The sequence below is a fragment of the Homo sapiens genome, chromosome 5 (assembly GCF_000001405.40).
Source record: "Homo sapiens chromosome 5, GRCh38.p14 Primary Assembly".
Taxonomy (NCBI): Eukaryota; Metazoa; Chordata; class Mammalia; order Primates; family Hominidae; genus Homo; species Homo sapiens.
In genome coordinates this window covers 115,164,257-115,183,470 of record NC_000005.10, presented here as the reverse complement: position 1 = coordinate 115,183,470, position 19,214 = coordinate 115,164,257, and the positions used below count along the sequence as shown (strand labels likewise).

General features: G+C 46.4%; 1 protein-coding gene across 10 annotated transcripts in view, besides 3 other annotated features; it reads left to right on the top strand.

Annotated features, from left to right (window-relative positions):
- The first annotated feature begins 3,176 nt into the window (after nucleotides 1–3,176).
- Nucleotides 3,177–19,214, top strand: part of TRIM36 (tripartite motif containing 36) — a 55,523-nt gene continuing 39,485 nt past the window's right edge. For 5 of the 10 annotated variants that reach the window (NM_001300752.2, NM_018700.4, XM_017009621.3 and 2 more), the window contains exon 1: nucleotides 3,177–3,496. Coding sequence is in view for 8 of the 10 variants with exons in the window: in NM_018700.4 (NP_061170.2) it covers nucleotides 3,434–3,496 (63 nt within the window). In the remaining 2 variants the exon portion in view is untranslated. Of the gene's footprint in view, nucleotides 3,497–5,598; nucleotides 5,935–12,248; nucleotides 12,370–13,562; nucleotides 13,864–14,384; nucleotides 14,505–19,214 lie in introns of those variants that run through there. The other 5 variants (NM_001300759.2, XM_017009622.3, NM_001017397.2 and 2 more) reach the window with 4 other exon arrangements.
- Nucleotides 3,374–3,493: an enhancer, noted in NCBI's record as "active region_22925". NCBI's record gives its function as "activates an Ori minimal core promoter by ATAC-STARR-seq in GM12878 lymphoblastoid cells {active_cell/tissue: GM12878}" and the evidence as "EXISTENCE:reporter gene assay evidence [ECO:0000049][PMID:35858748]".
- Nucleotides 13,148–13,567: a silencer, noted in NCBI's record as "silent region_16246". NCBI's record gives its function as "represses an Ori minimal core promoter by ATAC-STARR-seq in GM12878 lymphoblastoid cells {active_cell/tissue: GM12878}" and the evidence as "EXISTENCE:reporter gene assay evidence [ECO:0000049][PMID:35858748]".
- Nucleotides 14,298–14,387: a silencer, noted in NCBI's record as "silent region_16245". NCBI's record gives its function as "represses an Ori minimal core promoter by ATAC-STARR-seq in GM12878 lymphoblastoid cells {active_cell/tissue: GM12878}" and the evidence as "EXISTENCE:reporter gene assay evidence [ECO:0000049][PMID:35858748]".

The following is a 19,214-nucleotide window of genomic DNA, read 5'->3' as shown; positions in this document are numbered from 1 at the left end:
GATTATGAGATGGTTTTACAAATCCATAATTTAATAAAAATAACTAAGCAGTACACTGACAATTAGTGAATTTTATGGTATATAAATTGTACCTCAATAAAGCTTATTCAAAAAAGATTTTTTTTTTAAAATGACCTTTTTGAATACAGGTATCAGTCAAATTTTAGGTTTACATTTTTGAAATAAAAACTAAGAAAATGTGAGAGTTTATTAAAAGTAAGATATTTTAGGTTTCTTCAGTCTCTAACTCTTAAAAAGCTGAACATTCTTCACAGATTTTAAATTCAAAACCTTCAAAAATACAATTTGTGTGTCACCATTAAAAAGAAAACTTGGATTGTGTATTTTGTTGATGTTATTTGTTCAAGCTATTATGTATTATGCTGGTTGCCATCAGAAGGAGAAAATAGAATGTTGTAAATCTCTATGTAATACTTATTTCAATAATTGGCATAGCAATAGAGCAGTTGAAGAATTTTCTCCATTTGATGAAAGTTGGCAATTAGCAGATTTTCCACAGCAAGGGACCCTTTAATATTGCTGGTCTTCTCAGTGTGAAAAATTCACACATCATATAATCCCTCTATTAAATATCTTCCTCTTAGGTGGGGAAGTCCCCTGTGAAGCAGCATCTGTCATGTTAATTTCATTCTTATTTTTAGAGAAATATGAATTAACATTTTTCTTAATTTTGGTTCTTTTAGGGAGTGAAGTTTTAAATTTATATGATTTTAATCTTTTTTTCAGAAGAAAGGGACATAATAAAGCAACTTTTATTTGGTACCTATTGACAGTTTGACCCTGTGTCTTTGAAGTGAGTGCATGCATAGAATTTCAGAAGAAATTTCAATGTGGTCTTCATTTTTATATGCCTATCTTCTTTGAAAGGTCTTTAATGCTCCAGAGTGTTCTTCACACAACGACAATAAAGAGTGGTAAATACCACCAGGCATTGGTGTAAATAAATGCTCAGGACCCAACTTATGTTCTCTAAAACTCTTGCCTCCACCACTTTCTTGGTCTTGGGTAGGAATCTAGGCAACTGATAAGGATATTTTGTCTGGAGTATTTTCTAGTAGCAAGTGATCAGGTGGACAGCCCTTTTTTAAGAGCGATCTTTTCAGGGAGGAGAATGGCAGCTAATGCGGCCAGATGGCAAAGGGATCCTCAGATCAGAGATTTTAGGGTTAAGAACAGGAAGGGGTTAGAGACCATTTAGTCAACACCAGTCATTTTATAGAAGAGAAAACTGAAGCTCTGAAAGTTGAATGGACTTACTCAAGGTTAATAGAAACTAACAACTTTCTACCCGATATCTGTCTCCTCTTCTTCCTTACTAACAAATCCTTGATTTTGTTTAGAGTGGCAATGTTCCCAGAACAAAATAATCACCTCCCCAGCCTTCCTTGGAGCTAGGGGATGCATATTACCCATTTCTCACAAAGGTGTAAGTGGAGGTCACTGGATGGGGCTGGGGGAAGCTTTTTAAGGGGAAACAAATGTCTTGTGTGCTCTTGTCTCTACCTTCCTCCTTCCTGCTTGTAATGCAGACATAAGATTAGCTGTTCAGCTCTAACACTGTGGTTTTTAATCAGGTGCCAGAATCCATTCTGGGTGTGAAAAAATGTTCACTTTTAGAGCAATATCTCTTTCTGGTAATCCATCAAGTGTTGCTAATAGTAGGCAAGAACCCATTTATGGATGCTACAGACCTTAGTTGAATTCTACTAGTTTTCCTATGGACGCAAAGAGTATACATGAAGTTCTACAGAACTTAAGAGGGACAAGAAGCTTCTAGCTGTATATCCAAGAAGCATTATGATTGTGTCTTGCCTCCTACAGAGCCCTAATTGTGAACATCAGCATGTTAACTTTTGCTGCTTGTTCTAAGAGGTTTTCAGCACCAGCTCATAAAGTAAAGTAACACACCGAAGAAGCAAAGTTCTGGTAGAACAACAGTTACAGAGCAACACTGTTGGAGCTTTACGGAGAGGTGTGCTGAAAAAAGAAAGAAATGTGTATGCTTCTGGATTTCTGGACCAAAGTGGAGAAATTAGAAAATGACAAAAGGAAGAGGCAAAAAAGAAAAACCCCCACGTCTCATTAAGCCTGCAAAACTCTTTTACACCTGTAAAATAGGTCATTTCGACACACCACCCTGCCCACTGGTGCTGAGCGCAACGCAAACTCTGCCAACTTGCTTAAGGAAAGTAGTTTCACGAACTTTGTAGTAAATCTTATTCGTGTCTAATCTAATTATTGCTGGCAGCTTTTTTCTTTTCTTTTTAAAGAAAAAACATCAAGCCTTTAATCGCAAAGACTCCTTAGAGCAGAGTGATAGACTGGGACTGATTTTGTTCAGCCAAGTTTTCTTTTGAAGAGAAGCAAAGATTGTCAGGTATGGTCTGAGGCCATTTCAGCTGTAGCCTCCTAGGGAAGCTGCTGTTATAAAAAGAAGTATAGAAATGTGAGAAGCCTGCACTGAATGCTTTAACTCAACCAACGAAACAAATAATTAGAAAAGTGGACTTGTGGTAACTAACGGTCAGAGTGTCCAGGAACCTGGCTGGCAATATTTTTTTTCTTTTCTTTCCTCTTCTTTTTTTTTCTTTCTTTCTTTCTTTTTTTTTTTTTTTTGTTGTCGTTGTTAAAGGAAAGTTGAGTATCAAAAGGATATGGAGATACAACAGACCTTACACAGAGTGTTTAAAATACAATCCCTGTATTTGTTCTCATCTCCGAAGCGCGGGGCTTGGTCTTTATTACCTATTGGATTTCAGGAAGGCTGACTTGAGATGCGCCGTTGCCATTTCCTGGCCTTCACTTATGTATTTATTTATTTATTTTCCGGCGCTGGCAGCCAGCCCCTTTGTTGCGCCTCCTCTGTATTCGTTTCTGTCTGCCCTCGCACCTCCAGACAGTGAGATGGGGCTTTTTTCCAGATCTTCGCGCCGAGAGCCGGGGACGGCCAACCTGCCGGCATGCGATAAAGGCCGGGGAATGTCTAGCTGGGGCCGCGCTGAGCCGAGTGCGGACCCGCTTTGTGTGCGCGTTTGTTTGTCTCCGCTGCGGTCCGAACCGCTGCCGCGACCCCCGAGGAGGCGGGGCCTCCGCGCGCCCGGCTCCGCCTGGTGAGGGTTTCACGGCCTCTGCTGCCGCCGCCGCCGCCCTCGTTTGTTCCGTTAGATCGCGCAGCCCCGACCGCTGCACCCGGATCCTAGCAAGCCGGGCGAGGCTGCCCGGGAGCCCTCGATGGCCTTCATTTCACCCAAGCCCGCTTCTTGCTTTCCCCGGCGCTTCCCCTCTTTTCCTGGTTAACAGCTTATGGGCGGGGAGCTCGGCAAAACTCAGACTAAAAACAGAAAAAGAGAAAAGAAAGGACAAATTCGATACACCCGCGTCGGTCCTCCAGAGTTTGTGAAGGGGTGTAAACATGTCGGAGTCTGGGGAGATGAGTGAATTTGGCTACATCATGGAATTGATAGCTAAAGGCAAGGTAAGTGATGAGGCGCGGGGCGCCGCGGCCTGGGCCCCCGACTCCGGCACTACCTGGCCCGCCACTGTGGGCGTCCGTGTCCATTCCAGCGCCTGGGAAGGGCGGGAGGCTGGAATCCAGGAGCCGCGCTCGCAGCCCGGGCGTCCCAGCAGCTGCGGAATGCAAAGTAGCCGCCTTTTCTTTATTGCGTGGCATCTCTGAAATAAGCCAAGAGGGGACTTTCGGACGCTTTTGGGGCCAGCTGGGCAGCAATAGGGGCTCTCGGACGCCGAAGGGCGAGAGCCCAGCGTCGGAAGATGGAGAGGAGGGCGGGGCGTTGGCCAAGGGGGCGCTGCCCCACCAACCAGGGCTACTCAAACGTGGTGACTTCGAGTGGGTGACCTCGCCTGCCTGGGCGCGGAGCGTGGAGGGAGGGTCCGCCCAGCGAGTGAACAGGCTCGAAGTGTGCGATCAGGGTCAGCCCGCAGTCAGAGCGTGTGGCCGGTAAATAGGGACAGCACGTTCGTTCGCCCTGCCCTGGCCTTTTCGGGCCTCTTTCCAGGTCCTTAGCTGCTGCTGCTCCAGGCCGGGAATATTTAAAGCAGCCTTCTTTTGGTAGGGAGGGGAAGATGCTGGAGGAGCGGGATTTCAGCCCCACACCTGTCCTGGAGCCTTTAGGAACGCAGGCTGGCGCCGTCGGTGGCGCCCGCGACGACGCCCTCAGCAGGCGGGGTGGTGCCGGGCCTGAGTCAGTGCGGGAGGCTGGGCTCCGCGCTGCATCCGAGAAATTGCCGGCAGAAGCTCCTAAGTGGTTTGCAGGCGGAACGTGTCGGGAAGTACGGAGGCTGCACAGTGCACTGCCCTCCGGAACTCGCAGACGGAGAGAAGGCGGGAAAGGGCGTCAGCGTTTGCCCTCTGCGCCTGGAGCTTCGAGAAGAGGTGATGGCACAAAGGAGCACTCGACTCCCTGTGCGCGGTTAACAGAAAGGAGGATGATTCTGTAGCCCTGATGTGAGCACCTGAAACCCTGCAGTCCCACACCCCACTAACTCCAACGCCGCAGATATAGCATATGGAGTAGTTTTAGATTCATGCCCGACAGTCCTATGGCCCCAGGGCTGGGGAGCTGGTTTAATGCACTCTTAGCCTAAAAAGTCCCAAATGAACCCTACGCCTCTCTGAATTCTCTTGTTCTACAGGCACTGAATACATTCATCAGAAACAGAATATTCATTAACATTTCGAAAGTGAAGCTGTGTCTTGGGCCTCCCCTACCATTTACAACCCCGGGCCAGAAGTACAATTGGAGAACTCTCCTTCCACTTTTCTTCCAAGCCCAGACTCCATCCTGCACCTCAAGGGGCCTTCAGCACACACTGTCCAGTATATCCGAGCTCTTTGTCGCCCCAGCAGCAGCCCCTTGACCACCCTTCGGGCCTAGGGTGCATATTGCGGCCCACCCTTCCCTCTGAAGAATGGACCCTGGGAAGAGAAGTCCTGATAAGAGAAAGGGCTGGCTCTGAGCAAAGAGGCAGGCAACCAGAGGAGGGCCAGAACCACGGCCTCTAAAGAGCGAGAGGTGCAGGCAGGACACCGACTGCCCAGGTCTAGGGGAATGCCTAACAGGGGCATCTATTTGGGAACGTTGAGGGGCTAGGGGGCAGGGAGGAAAAAGAATGCCTTTGGTTGAACAAAATAAATGGACTACTCTTGATAGGATGGAGAATAGGATGATCGATAGGTGAATTTTGTCCTATGGCGCTCAGATATTCTTCAAAGTAAGCCAGAATTGTATTAGTTGGCTATGCTTTCCTTCAATAGCAGACAAATCCTGAAATTCTGAGAGAATAATTTCGGGGTAGGACCCAGGGATTTGCATGTGAAGAACAGCCCAGGTGACCATGAAGCCGACTGATGGATGTCCTATGAACACGAAATGGGGAAGTAGGGCAGAACCATTAAAACTCCTTATAATCAAGTCAGGTAAACAAAAACAAAACCCTCTCAGAATACCAATGGGTTCATCACAGTATGCTCACTATAATGAAAAAACACAAACTAACTTTCTGGCTTCATTTACTGGATTTCTCTGCTCTCTCTCTCTCTGTCTCTCTCTTCACTAGGCTTCAGCAATGGGCCTGCAGCAAACCCATGAGCATTCCCGGTTGACTTCTAAAGGTGGAGAGGCCCGCTGTCCCTTTGAAATCTCTGAGGTTGGAAAGCAGTCTCTCCCAAGAAGAACTTAGGACAATTCCTCTCTCTGTTTTGTGGGGGTTGGAGGGGGAGAGTTGGTCTGGAGTAGGCTCCTAACCATTTCAACGTAAGCTTATTTCCTACCACTCTCCTCAGGCTCAAATCCTGCCCCGCCCCGCAGCCCCAGCACTAGCCCATTTAAGACCCCTGTTTTGTGTGTGATTATACAGGATTTGAACACTGAATATTAACCATGGAATAGCAGACCTTTGAGACTGACTTGCTTTATTTTCCTCTGTGGGGTTCGGTTCCACTTTGTAGTTCGGGTTTGTAATGTAAAGAATAATGGGAAACTGGTCTAATTATGAGAGTTAAGAGAGTAGAGGCCTGTAGTTGGCCTGCCCTCCGCCCCACCATCCCTCAAAGTTGAGACCACTGAGTTAACCATCCTCTTAATTTCTCTCACTTTTCCCCCAGATTTGTTTCATCCTTGTACTGGACTTCTCAAGCTCTGTACATAATTAAAAATACATAGCTTTACATTTTTACAAACTTAATACCTGGAATATATGCTTGTTGTAAAGTATTCAAACTTCACAGAAAGGTTCACAGAGTAAAAAGTCTAAGTTCATGCCCACCTCCAATCTCATTCCTTCCCCAGTGGCAGCAGTTTGTGTGTCTATTTCAAATTAAATTAGCATACCGTATGTTCTCTGAAATGTGGGAAGTAAGCCTTTTTTCTTAGGGTAACCTAAAACCTACAGGACAAACTGGATCAGCTTATTTACTCTATTGTGATGGCTACTTTAATATTTAAAGTACACAGTGATATCTGCCATTGTGACCTTTCTGCTCATCAAACAATACTGCATAAGTGTAGTTAATACTTACGATCATTCTCAAGAGGCTTAAAAATGAAAATGTATTTCCTTACATTTCACTAGCAGTGAAACTTTTACCATTTCTGAAAGCTGTCTTTTCGCTTCTTTTGCAGCTAATCTCTTTGGATTAAAAGAGAGGTTTCCAAATCTGTGGTCAATATCTAAGGTTACTCAAAGCAGTATTTTCCAACTGTTTTGGTCTCTTGTAAGATTTGCCTCACTAATTTTTTTATCACCGCTTCTGGAATCATATAATGAAGATTTGATGACAAGGAATATAGAATTCAAATTTTAGTATATCTCTTTGTATTTTGTGTATTTAGCATATTTACATTTATGTGTAAATAGCCAGAAGGTACATTCGGTTCCCATAATTTAATATTTACTGTTCAGGCACATCTAAGAGCATAATGGTTTCAGCAAAATAAGAGAGGCTTTGTAAATCTTATATTTAATTTTGATACTGAAATAGGCAATGATACCATTACTTGGTGAATTATTTTAACTTTGAACATCTTTGAGGCACAAAAAATTCAAGAATTTTTACAAACACAAACTTTACCTTAAAAAAAGAAGACACTTACACTCTGAAAGAATTAGTCTTGGAAAGTCCTCAAATCTAGACTAATAAAAGGTCTTAAACATCTCCTGGGACCAAAACAAAAATACCACCAAATGATCTCTTTCAGAAGGACGAATAGATAGTTGCTCACACAACTAAAATCTAAACTGGGGTGATAATGGTAAGGTTGTGCCCACTGCATAAGTATTTTTATTTTTATTTTTATTTTTTTTTGAGACACAGTTTTACTCTGTTGCCCAGGCTGGCGTGCAGTGGTGCAATCTCAGGCTCACTGCAACCTTCACTTCTGGGTTCAAGCGATTCTCCTACCTCAGCCTCCCTAGTAGCTGGGACTACAGGCACACGCCACCATGCCCGGCTAATTTTTTGTATTATTAGTAGAGACAGGGTTTCGCCATGTTGGCCAGGCTGGTCTCGAACTCCTGACCTCAAGTGATCTACCTGCCTTAGCCTCCCAAAGTGCTGGGATTACAGGGGTGAGCCACCGCATCCGGCCTACAAAGTATTTTTTAAAGGTTTTTTAAATATATGTATTGAAATTGGGTGAAATGTATGTGCTGTGGGGAGTAGGGAAGGCAGGCAGAAGATTTAGATTTTTGTAATATCATTTGAAAAGAGCTACTTTCATAAATATAATTTTCCTCTTATTTTTTTTTACTATATTGCGCTAAAGATAATTTGAAAAAAAAAGGTGTCTCCTAAACTACTTTGTAAAAGGATGTTTAAATCAGATTTTTAGTGAAATTGTAAATTCTGTGTTGTATACTCACCTGTGGGCAGTGCAATAAGGATGCTGGACTGAGACCCAGGTTTGAATCCTGGCTTTTTAGTATATGGCCATGTAGTATATAGCCCATAGATTAAGCATATTACTTAATCTATGGGCGGAGGTGGAGAGGAATTTTAGTTGTTACATGTCTTCTCTGAAAAGAATTATACCTATTTCACAGGGTTACTGCAAGGGTTAAATGAATCTTTTATGCAGGTTTCCTAATACTGTTATCGACACATCATAGGCCCTCAATAAATGAAAGCTATTACTTCTAGCTTTTATGACAACAGGGTTGGGCCTTGAGACACCTTATATCCACATTGTGATCATTAAGAAGTGGAGGTAGGGCTGACAGATAAAATACAGGATGTAGACTTGAATTTGAATTTGAGATAAATACTTTTTTTTTTTTTAGAATATGTGCAATGTGATATTTGGAACATATACTAAAAAATTATCATGTATCTGAAATTCCAATTTAACTGGGTGTATTGTGTTCTTATTTACTAAATCTAGTAACCCTACAGGGAAGAATAATAAGATGTGGTCAACAGAGAGGGACCTGCTAGATTGCCTCAAAATATTACCAGTTTTGTTTACCTCAAGTTGGCCAGAAAACTTCTTTGCCCACTAGTTATGCAGCTAATACACTCATCATTAATGGAAAAATGTCCGTGAGAGCAGCACTGGGTTCCTCTCATCTTCCTAATAGCAAATTGTTGCTCTGGTGCTACTGTTTAGTAGATAAATGCTTACTAGATTTTGTCTTAAATAAAAGCTTAAATGGTCGAGAAGACAAAACATCAAACATCAGTGTACAAAGACTAGGTATTTGTGTTAAACTGAGTGCTAAAAGAATTCAGAATAGAGGGAGATAATCAATGAAATCAAAACTAATAAAGGAGGCTCCAGAAGTGCAACTTGAAAGATGAGGAGGATTTGGCCAGGTAGTGGAAATCTGAACTTGCTGGCTCTCTGGACTCCTCTCCCCTGACTTTGTTCCCATAGAAACACTTTATGACTGGTAAGCTTGGCCTGTCAGTAGCTTGAGTCAATAATTGATAGACAATACCATTCATTATCCCTTTACTGGTAACCTCCTGATACCCAGCAGTATAGGTGGTCCGTGTGCCAATCTACTGGAAAACCCTGTAATTTACTTTATTTCTGTACTTTTTATTTTCTGTAAGTCCAGGTGCTCTCTTGATTTTATACCTATGGCTGCTTAATTATTAGGGGTTCCCAAAAGGGGGCAGAGTTTAGGGAATATGTGGCCATATTACCTTGTTTCTATTTCTTGTTTAGTATATACCAATAGAATGGTGGTACCCTGCCTGTCTGATCTCAGAGCAAACCAATTAATATGCACCATGGTCATTAGGACTTGACCCAGCCATGAATTTAATCTCTTGTTGGGTATTAGGAATCAATATGGAAAAAGACCAAGTCAGCTTATGGAGTAGTATATGATTTATAGGGTAAGGGGTTTATATTTTAAATATCAAGCAATGAACATTGATTGAGGCTCTGTTTTATCAAAGCCTGAATTGTGTGTGTTTGGAGAGGGGAATCTTGACCTTTTGGACTTCATGAAGTAGATGGATGTGAGAGAGCTCATGCCCCTGTGATAGAAGAGCAATTAAGTAATACCAGAAGTAGAAAAGTAGATATCACAATGAAGGCAAGAGTATTGAAGGTCTGTGGACTTAGGGGGATAAGAATAGGATAGGTTTTCTTGTTTTGCATTTTAACCCAGATTTTAAAATAAACTATTGAAAAAGGAGGTGCTAGGATACTCCAAACTGCGGAGGAATAGGCACCAAGGGACAGCATATACAATGTAAAATAGGGGAATAATGATTTTTTTAAAGTTCAGATATTTCATGCCATTCCTGCTAAAAAGCCTTCAAAAGCTGCTCAACATCTACAAAAGCATAGAGGCCTTCCATACTTTACCAGACTTATTTTGTTACCACAGGTTTACCACCCTCTAACTCCTGCTCTTCAACACATGCGTGCGCGCACACACACACACACACACACATTCAAATACACATGTCCACACACCCCCCACCCCCTTATGTTCCAATACCAAGCTGCCTGTGGTCCAGGACTGTAGCTTATTCTGCTCCTTGTGCAAATAGAGGCATGAGGACAGGGCTACACATATGGAAAATCATCTGTAAATACTCAACTTATAGGCTACTGTTGTAATCTAGGCATGCGGAGAGGGGGCTTAGAGTGGGCACAGGAATCAGCTGTGAGGATGAGAAAGAACAGAATCTGGTAACAAACTATGATTTAAGGCTGATCAGAGATAGACAGGGAAGAAGAAAGGAAGATAAAAAGCAAGCAAACAAAACCCACCAGGATTTTAACTTGAGGAACTGGGAAGGGTCTTGGTATCCTGGGAGGCTGGGATATTTCGATGCTGAAACAGAGAAGTTGATGACTTGACACAAAGCACGGCAGCCCAGGGAGACAGAAATGATCAGGGAACTGGGAAAGCAGTGGTTTAAAATGGCAGTTTTCGTATTTGTCTTCTTCCCCTCACCTTTTGTTTTTAAAAGTTTATGGATAGAAAGGATTTTTAACCTTAAAAAGTTTTAGAACTATAACATGTACATATAAGATGGAAAGATAATACAATGTGAGTGAAGAGTTAAATCTTGTATACCTAACTCCATCCCTTACTTCTCCACAATGGTTATCATATTTTGTGCTCTATTCCAGATGCTTATTTTTGTTTGCCTGTAATCAGATATACCTAGTTTTTTGGCCAGAGTGGCAGCATTCAGAATCCTTATGGTTTTGTACTTTTTTTTTTTTTTGAGACAGAGTCTCGCTCTGTCGCCAAGGCTGGAGTGCAGTGGCACGATCTTGGCTCACTGCAACCTCTGCCTCCCGGTTTCAAGTGATTCTCCTGCCTCAGCCTCCTGAGTAGCTGGGATTACAGGCGTGTGCCACCACGCCAGGCTAATTTTTGTATTTTTAGTAAAGGGGGGGTTTCACCATGTTGGCCAGGCTGGTCTCGAATTCCCGACCTCAGGTGATCCACCTGCCTCGGCCTCCCAAAGCGCTGGGATTACAGGTGTGGGCCACTGCACACATTATATTTTAGAAATCCTTTCTCATCAGTACATTGATTTTAACTGCTGCATAGTATTCCATGGTATGAATGTATATTATGCATGATGTTTAGTTATAAATAAGGTCTCAATAAGCTCTTTGTACATGTTTTTGTGCACACATGCAAGTATTACAGTAGGAACATTCTTAGATGTGGAATTGCTTAGTCAAAAGGTAAAAATATTTAAAATTTTTGATAGGATTTGTAAAATGTCCCTTGAGATAAGCTGTACCAACATACGATATCACAAAAAGGTTTGAGCAAAATAAGAGAGGCTTTGTAAATCTTGTATTTTTGATAGAGAAATAGGCAATGATACCATTACTTGGTGAATTATTAAACTTTGAACATATTTGAGGCACAAAAATATTCAAAAATTTTTACAAACACAAAATTAAAACAAGAAGACACTTATACTCTGAAAGAATTAGGCTTAGAAAGTCCTCAAATCTAGACTAATATAAGGTCTTAAACATCTCATGGGACCAAAACAAAAATACCACCAAATGATCTGTTTCAGAAGGATGAATAGATAGTTGCTCACACAACTAAAACCTGTGCTGGGGTGATAATGGTAAGGTTGTGCCCACTGCATAAGTATTTTTATTTTTTTGGAGACACAGTTTTGCCAAGTGTATTAACACTTGCCAAGTATATTAACATCATGTTTGAATTTTGTGGATCAGGTAGAAAATGATAGCTCAGTGAAGTCTGATTTGCAAAATGGAAGGCCATAGCAATGTATTTTCACCAAAATATTGTCTATACAGATTTTATCTTTAATTCCTGTTAATGGAGCCTTCTAATCACTTTTACTGTGTCAACTAATAAGTTTTGGATCAAAGCAGGTGTGCGGATGTGAAATTACAGCCCAAGGGGAATTATTTAGCTCAAAGGCCAGTATGAGAAAGACTTATAATGCTTTCTAATGGTTGAGCCTTTAAATATATGTATATATATATAGGCACCTAATTCACGCAGGCATTTGTTAGTCTCCTCCTGATTAGCACTTTTCAGAACCTGTGGGAAGGAAGCCTTCCCAAGTCTAGCACCTGCGGCCACGCAACGGGCATTAATCCGGATCAGAACAGCCCAGGCATTATTACCTGGCAAAGCTTTCGTCCTCTGTTCACCTCATCTGTAAATGGAGGGTATTCCATTAGAGAAAATTGCTATAGTCCCTCAGTGTTTTTAATTCTACACTCCTTATTTAGATGCCGGATTGGAGACGAGGCTACCGCTGCAGACAGGGCTGTGGGAAGACGACGGAACTTGCCACAGCGACAGACTTCTCCCAAACAGGAAATAAAAGTGGGAAGCATTTTAAAACCTAAACGAGATGTCTCGCTACAGCTCTGTAGTCCCTACTTACCCAGCAATTTAGGGCATCTGTTCTTAAAGCCTAATACATAGGAATGAATTGTTTAGCTAGCCAGAAAGGCAGTGCGTGATCTAATAATCCTAAATTAATTTGTTCTCCGTGTGTCCTGAAAACAACACCAGAAACACACTTGGGCCGTGGCAGGTGAAATGTGCGCCGCCAGTCCTTGAGCTGGCGCGCGCCTTAACGTTCAGCAGCACTCCCCGCGGGGGTGCGGGGGTGCCGGAGCCGCTCAGGACCCTCTGTCCTGGCCCTCAGGAAGGAAAGCGTAGGCCCGGGTGGCGGGGGGTCTCTCCCTTGCCGCGGCCTTTTAACTTCAGTCCCTGGCCAGCATCCGGGAGAGGAATCTCCACCCTGCAGGCGGTCCCCGCGCTACTGGGCAAGAACGTGCGGTGACATCGCGACTTGGGGGTATAGAAGCAGAAAGCGGGATATGACTGCTCGGTGCCCAGTCAGGGACTATTAAGTTCACCCAGCAAGTGAAGCCAGAAGAGAACTGGGACAAGCCGGGCGGGGCCAGGGAACCCCAGGCCGCGCCTGGCTAGGGACCGCGGAGAGGGCGGGCGGGGTCTCACTCTGGTCGCCTCGCGCAGCTCTGCCGTGCTCGCCGCGGCCATTCAGGGAAGGTGGCTTAGGCTCGCCCTCGCCCGCACCGTCCTGTGCCGAGCCTGGAAGCGGGGCTTCGAACCGCGAGTGAAGAAAGCGCAGTGAGAGCAAACTGAAGGGCGGAATGGCAGCGCAGGGCCAGGGGCCAGGGGCCAGGGCTGCAGCCGGCTGCTCTGCTGCAGCGGAGCCTCCCCGCCCCGGCGCCGCCCTCGGCACCCGCCCACCGCTCCCCGCTGCCCTCACTTCCGTTCCTCAGAGCCCCCCAGCCTGGCATAGGGCGACGGGCGACTACCCGGGTGGGAGGGAGGGGCTGATGCGTAGGGGGAAGGTGGCGGCGGAGGGCGCCGAGTCCCAACCGCGTGCCACACCCACGCCCAGCCGAGTCCCGCTCAGCCTACCACTCAGACACCCGGCCTACCAGCCCCAGGCGGCCCCGCCTCTTTTGTGCGACTGGCGCTGTTGCCTGGGCAACGACCAGGCCACGCCCTGTCCACGCCCCGCGGTGCCCCGCCCAGGTCTCTGCGCGGCGCCGTTCCCAGCCGCAGTCCGCAGGAGCCGCTGCTGCAGCCGGCAGCTGGGCGGGATTCCCGGGGTAGTCGCTGGGAGCAAAGCTCGCTTCTCCCGCGCCTGTGCTTTTGCCTGCCCCGGCTTACTTCTCCCCGCGTCGGTCCGCTGGCCACGTACAGCTGACCAGCTCATCTTCCAGCTTCGGACCGAGGCTCCACGGCCGCCGCAGGGACCCGCCCACCAGACCCTGCGCTCGGTAGCCGGTGTGAGTGGAACGTGCCGCTGATGACACCTGGCAGAAGGCAGCCATGGAGGGCGATGGCTCAGATTCGCCGGTGAGTGCGGAGGGGACCGCCGCCCCCACCTCGAGGGCGGTGTGCCGACCGCGGCTCTTTCTCTTTCCTCCGCCGGGAGCCCGGAGGGAGCCTCCTCCCGGGAGAGCAAAGGCAGGCGTGTGGGGATCCCGCTTCCTCTTCGCCTTCTCCCGCCCGGGGCTAGGTTCCGCAATCCGGGGCGTCCCCTTTCTATCCCCGAGAGCCGGACGTGGGGTCCCCTGGGCCGGAGAAGAGCGCAAATCCGATGGTTGCCCACCTGAGCACCTCGGGGGAATCATGGAGGGTCTCTCTAATGGAGCTCAGGCTGTAGAATTAATTAGCGTTTGGGAGTCGGGTGCGGGCAGAAAGCTGGGGCGCGTCCCTCGCGCTTGCGGGGCCGCCCTTTGTCTAGGCGTCTTGACCCCCGCGGGCCCGGCCGGCTGCCGCCGCCTGGGCCAGAGGCTCCTCCCCGGCTTCGCCTGCCCGCGGGGGGCGGGCCGGGGCCCCGGCAGCTGTCAGCCTACAAGTGTTTTTGTTTAAAGGTGTCGAATGTGCAATTCTTCCGAAGTTTCTCGAGGAACTGCTTAATTGAGGGAGCCGCCACATCACACTTAATCAGTTTGTTTCTCCCTCAATGACAGATGAACTAAATTTTCTCTTGGGTAAGAAATACTTTATGTCCATTGTGATTAAAAAGTCAGATTCAAGACACTGCTTTATGTACAAGAAAATGGAAATGATTTTAGATCCTCCCCCAGTGACAAGTAAACCTGAACTGACCATATTTATACATAAAATGGAATGTAAGAACCTATTTTGGATATCCCGGACAAGATTTTCTTTTGAATTAGGTGCCAAACCCTTTGTGAAATGAGATAGGATGTGAATATTCTGTATTCTTTGATGTGAATTGTGAGGTTTAGTTATCTTATTTCCAAATCTGTGAACAGTTGGGAGGTGATATGGCTCTTCATCACATATTTGAGTGATGCAGCAAGAGACTGCATCGAAACACCCACTGACAATGATAAAACCAGTTGGCTCTAATGCAGTTAAATTGTCAGAGATTATTGAAGCACTTGGTGTCACTTTAGGGAGAATAGGTTAGCATACATTTTAAAATTTCATTACATTTAGTTAAGTCAATTTTAATTTTCTGTGTATTTCTAGTAGCTGAAATGATTGTACAAGGTTATAAGTACTTTGAAGTTGGGCTGTCTTTAAAATTGCAGGGATGCTGACTATAGGATTCATAGATATGAAGTCTGGGATACATGGAAAAAACTACGTAGAGAAATGATGGGGAAACTGGTATGAGGTCATCAAACTTTTTTAGTTGTGATGAGTCTAAAATGCTTCTCACTTAAAATAATGAAAGGCTGTAGTATTGAGAGCAGTTGTAGTGGTGCTTATACACCTTTTTAAAGGGTCCCCTACATTCTTTTAATATTCTGTTATGGTTAGGCTTTGTGTCCACACCCAAATCTCATCTTGAATTGTAATCCCCAGGTGTTGAGGGAGAGACCTGGTGGGAGGTGATTGGATCGTGGGAGTGGTTTCCCCCATGCTGTTTTCGTGATAGTGAATTCTCCCAATATCTGATGGTTTTATAAGGCAGTATTCTCTGTTCTTACTCCCTCTCGCCTGCTGCCATGTAAAACGTGCTTGCTTCCCTTCCTGCCATATTTGTAAGTTTCCTGAGGCCTCTCCAGCCATGCAGAACTGTGAGTCAATTAAATCTCTTTTCTTTATAAATTAGCCACTCTTGGGTATTTCTTTATAACACTGTGAAAAGGGACTAACACAGAGAATTGGTACCAAGGTAGTGGGCACTGCTGTAAAGATACCCAACAATGTGGAAGTGACTTTGGAACTGAATAACAGGCAGAGATTGGAACAGTTTGGAGGGCTCAGAAGAAGACAGGAAGATGTGGGAAAGTTTGGAACTTCCTAGAGACTTGTTGAATGGTTTTGACCAAAATTCTGCTAGTGGTATGGACAAAGAAGTGCAGGCCAAGGTGGTCTCAGATGGAGATGAGGAACTTGTCGGAAACTGGAGTGAAGGTGACTCTTGCTATGCTTTAGCAAAGAGACTGGCAGTGTTTTGCCCCTGTCCTAGAGATTTGTGAAGCTTTGAACTTGAGAGAGATGAAGCGGAGCGTAAAAGTTTGGAAAATTTGCAGCCTTACCATGGAGTAGAAAGGAAAAACCTATTTTCTGGGGAGGGATTCAAGCTAGCTGCAGAAATTTGCTTAAGTAAAAAAGACTCAAATGTTAATTGCCAAGACTATGGGTAAAATGTCTCCAGGACATGTCAGAGATCTTGGCAGCAGTCCCTCCGTTTGGCAGGGCCAAACAGGTGCATTAATGAAGAGAGCCCCATCACAGGCCTGGAGGCCTAGGAGAGAAAAATGTTTTAGTGGAGTGGGCCCAGGGCCCTGCTGCTGTGTGCAGCCTCGGTATCACAGGATCCTTAGGGTGTCGCTTCACCAGCCAGAAACCTCTGTGGCAAGTGTTGCCTTTGCCCAAGTTTTGCTCAGGCCCACTGGGCTTGTTCTGCCCACTTGACCCAGCAGGCTGTGCTTGGTTTTCACTACTGGCCCAGATCCCACGGCTGCCAACGGCAAGCCAGGTGCAGAGCAGCAAGGGGTGCATGAGTGAGCGAGCGCGGGGTACAGTGTGCACAGCCAGGCATGGTGGCTGTGGCGGGGCAGGCAGGTCCAGGTGCCAGTATGGGCGCCGGCTCCTTGCTGTGGCTGGAACAGGTGTACCACAAGTGGCTCCCACTACAAGCACTGTGGAACATGGTGGCACCCAGAAACTTGGAGATGCCGGCAACTGCAGAGCCACAAAGAGGATGTCACAGCCCTGGCTTGGGGAGCTCCTAAGTCCAGGCTCCCTGAAGGGCTGCAGCTCTTCTCTCCTCTCTTGTCTCCTCATCGTCACCCACAACATGGCGAGCAGCAGGGTGTATTTGACACAGTTTGTGTTACAGCTTGTTTGGTCCTGCCATTTGGCAGGTCCAGAGTTCCTGTACTGTGTCCAGGAAGAATGAGCTACATGGACAACTGGAGGGTGAACAAGGTGCTTTATTGAGCAAAAGAGTAGCTCTCAGGAGACCTGTCATGGGTAGCTGCTTTCTGCAGGCAGTTCCTCCCGACAACTGCAGCTCTCAGCAGAGAAGAGACCCGGAGTGGGTACCTCCTCTCTGCAGGCAGGTCATTTTGTCGAGTGTGCAGTCCTCAGTGGAGAGGAGACCCAAGTGGGTAGCTCTTACCTGCAGGCAGGTCGTCCTATCATCTGCCAGAGTCTGGCTGAGTTTGCGGTTTTTATGGGCTTCAGAGGGGAGGAAGTGTGTGCTGATTGGCCCATGGGTGGCCATGGGTGGGCCTGGAAAATTCACTGTAAGTTTTCACTCCAGTCAGTGGAACTGGCAGCCTGGACCCTAGGCTTCAGGCTATCCCTGGCTTGAAGGTGGGGTTTCAGCAGGGACCTGTCCCTTTCCTCCCAGGAGCCTGTCTCCCTCCCACTGCTGTTCATGGTGCCCAGACTGTTTTAGCTGAGGGACGCCTGCAGTACCACGTTGAGTCACCCTCAGCCCTGCCCTTGGCCTCCCTCCCACGTTCATCAGCGCCCAAAGTCCAGAGGGAGCTGAGGTGGCAGGGGGCTGGTGTGTCAGCATCTCCTCAAGCACACACACACCTGGCCAGGTCATGTCAGTGCCCGGGCTTGGCCACAGCTTTTCTCCAAAGTCAGAGTGGGCACTGGGAATGGGGAGAGGCCAAGCAGTAGGAGCAGGCACTTCTGAGCATGTGGGGGAAGAGAGGCATCCTGGGCCCCCGAGAGCATAGGAATGCCCTAGTCCACAGCTGGGTGGCTGCAATTGCACCCAGGAGCATGGGGCTCCCTCCGCACCAACTCGGAAGGGAGAAGGGCTCCTGCCTGTTCCTGGGTCCCGCTGGCTCTGCAGAGCAAGCAGGTCCGGCTGTGCCTTCCCAACTGCAGCCAGCATCTTTGCAGCAGCTGCTCCAGATGGGCTGCAGCTGCCATCACTGGGACTTGGTGCCCTGTGTCCCAGCTGTTCCAGTACCAGTTGTGGCTAAAAGGGGCCAAGGTACAGTTCAGACCATTGCCTCAGAGGGTGCAAGCCTTGGTGGCTTACACATGGTGTTGGGCCTACCAGTGCACAAAAGTCAAGAGTTGAGGTTTGGAAACCTCTGCCTAGATTTCAGAGGATGTACAGAAACACCTGGATATCCAGGCAGAAGTCTGCTGCAGGGGCGAAGCTCTCATGGAGAACCTCTGCTAGGGCAGTGCAAAGGGGAAATGTGAGATATAAGCCGCCACACAGAGTCCCCACTGGGGCACTCCCTAGGGGAGCTCTGAGAAGAGGACCATGGTCCTCCAGACCCCAGAATGGTAGATCCACCAACAGCTTTCATCATGCGCCTGGGAAACCTGCAGATACTCAATGCCAGCCATGAAAGCAGGTGGTGTGTGGGCTGTACCCTGCAAAGCCACAGGGGTGGAACTGCCCAAGGCCATGGCAGTCCACCCTTTGGATCAGCGTACCCTGAATGAGAGACATTGAGTCAAAGGAGATCTCACTTGTGAGCTTTATGACTTAATAACTGTCCTTTTGGGTTTCAGACTTTCATGGGACCTGTAGCCCCTTTGTTTTGGCCAATTTTTCCCATTTGGAATGGGAGCATTTGTCCAATGCCTGTACACCCATTGTATCCTGGAAGTAACTAACTTGCTTTTGATTCTCCAGGCCCCTAGGCAGAAGGGACTTGCTTTGTCTCAGATGAGACTTTGGACTTGGACTTTTGAGCTAATGCTGAAATGAGTTAAGACTTTGGGGGACTGTTTGGAAGCATGATTGGTTTTGAAATGTGAGGACATGAGATTTGGGAGGGGCCAGGGCCACAATGATATGGTTAGGTTCAAATCTTATCTTGAATTGTAATCCCAAGGTGTTGAGGGAGAGACCTGGTGGGAGGCCATTGAATCACAGGGGTAGATTTTCCCCATGCTGTTCTTGTGATAGCGAATTCTCATAAGATCTGATGGTTTTGTAAGGCAGTATCCCTGCTCTTGCTCTCTCTCACCTGCCACCACGTAACACAGATCTGCTTCCCCTTCTGCCATGATTGTAAGTTTCTTGAGGACTCCCTAGCCATGTGGAACTGTGAGTCACTTAAATCTCTTTTCTTTATAAATTACCCAGCCTCAGGTAATTTTCTTTATAGCAGTGTGAAAATGGACTAATACATACTCATAAAGTGCTTTTAAGATAATTGCTTTGATATACAGCATGAGAACCTCAGGCATTAATGAAGAATGGTCGCATTTAATGTAGAAAATTGCTG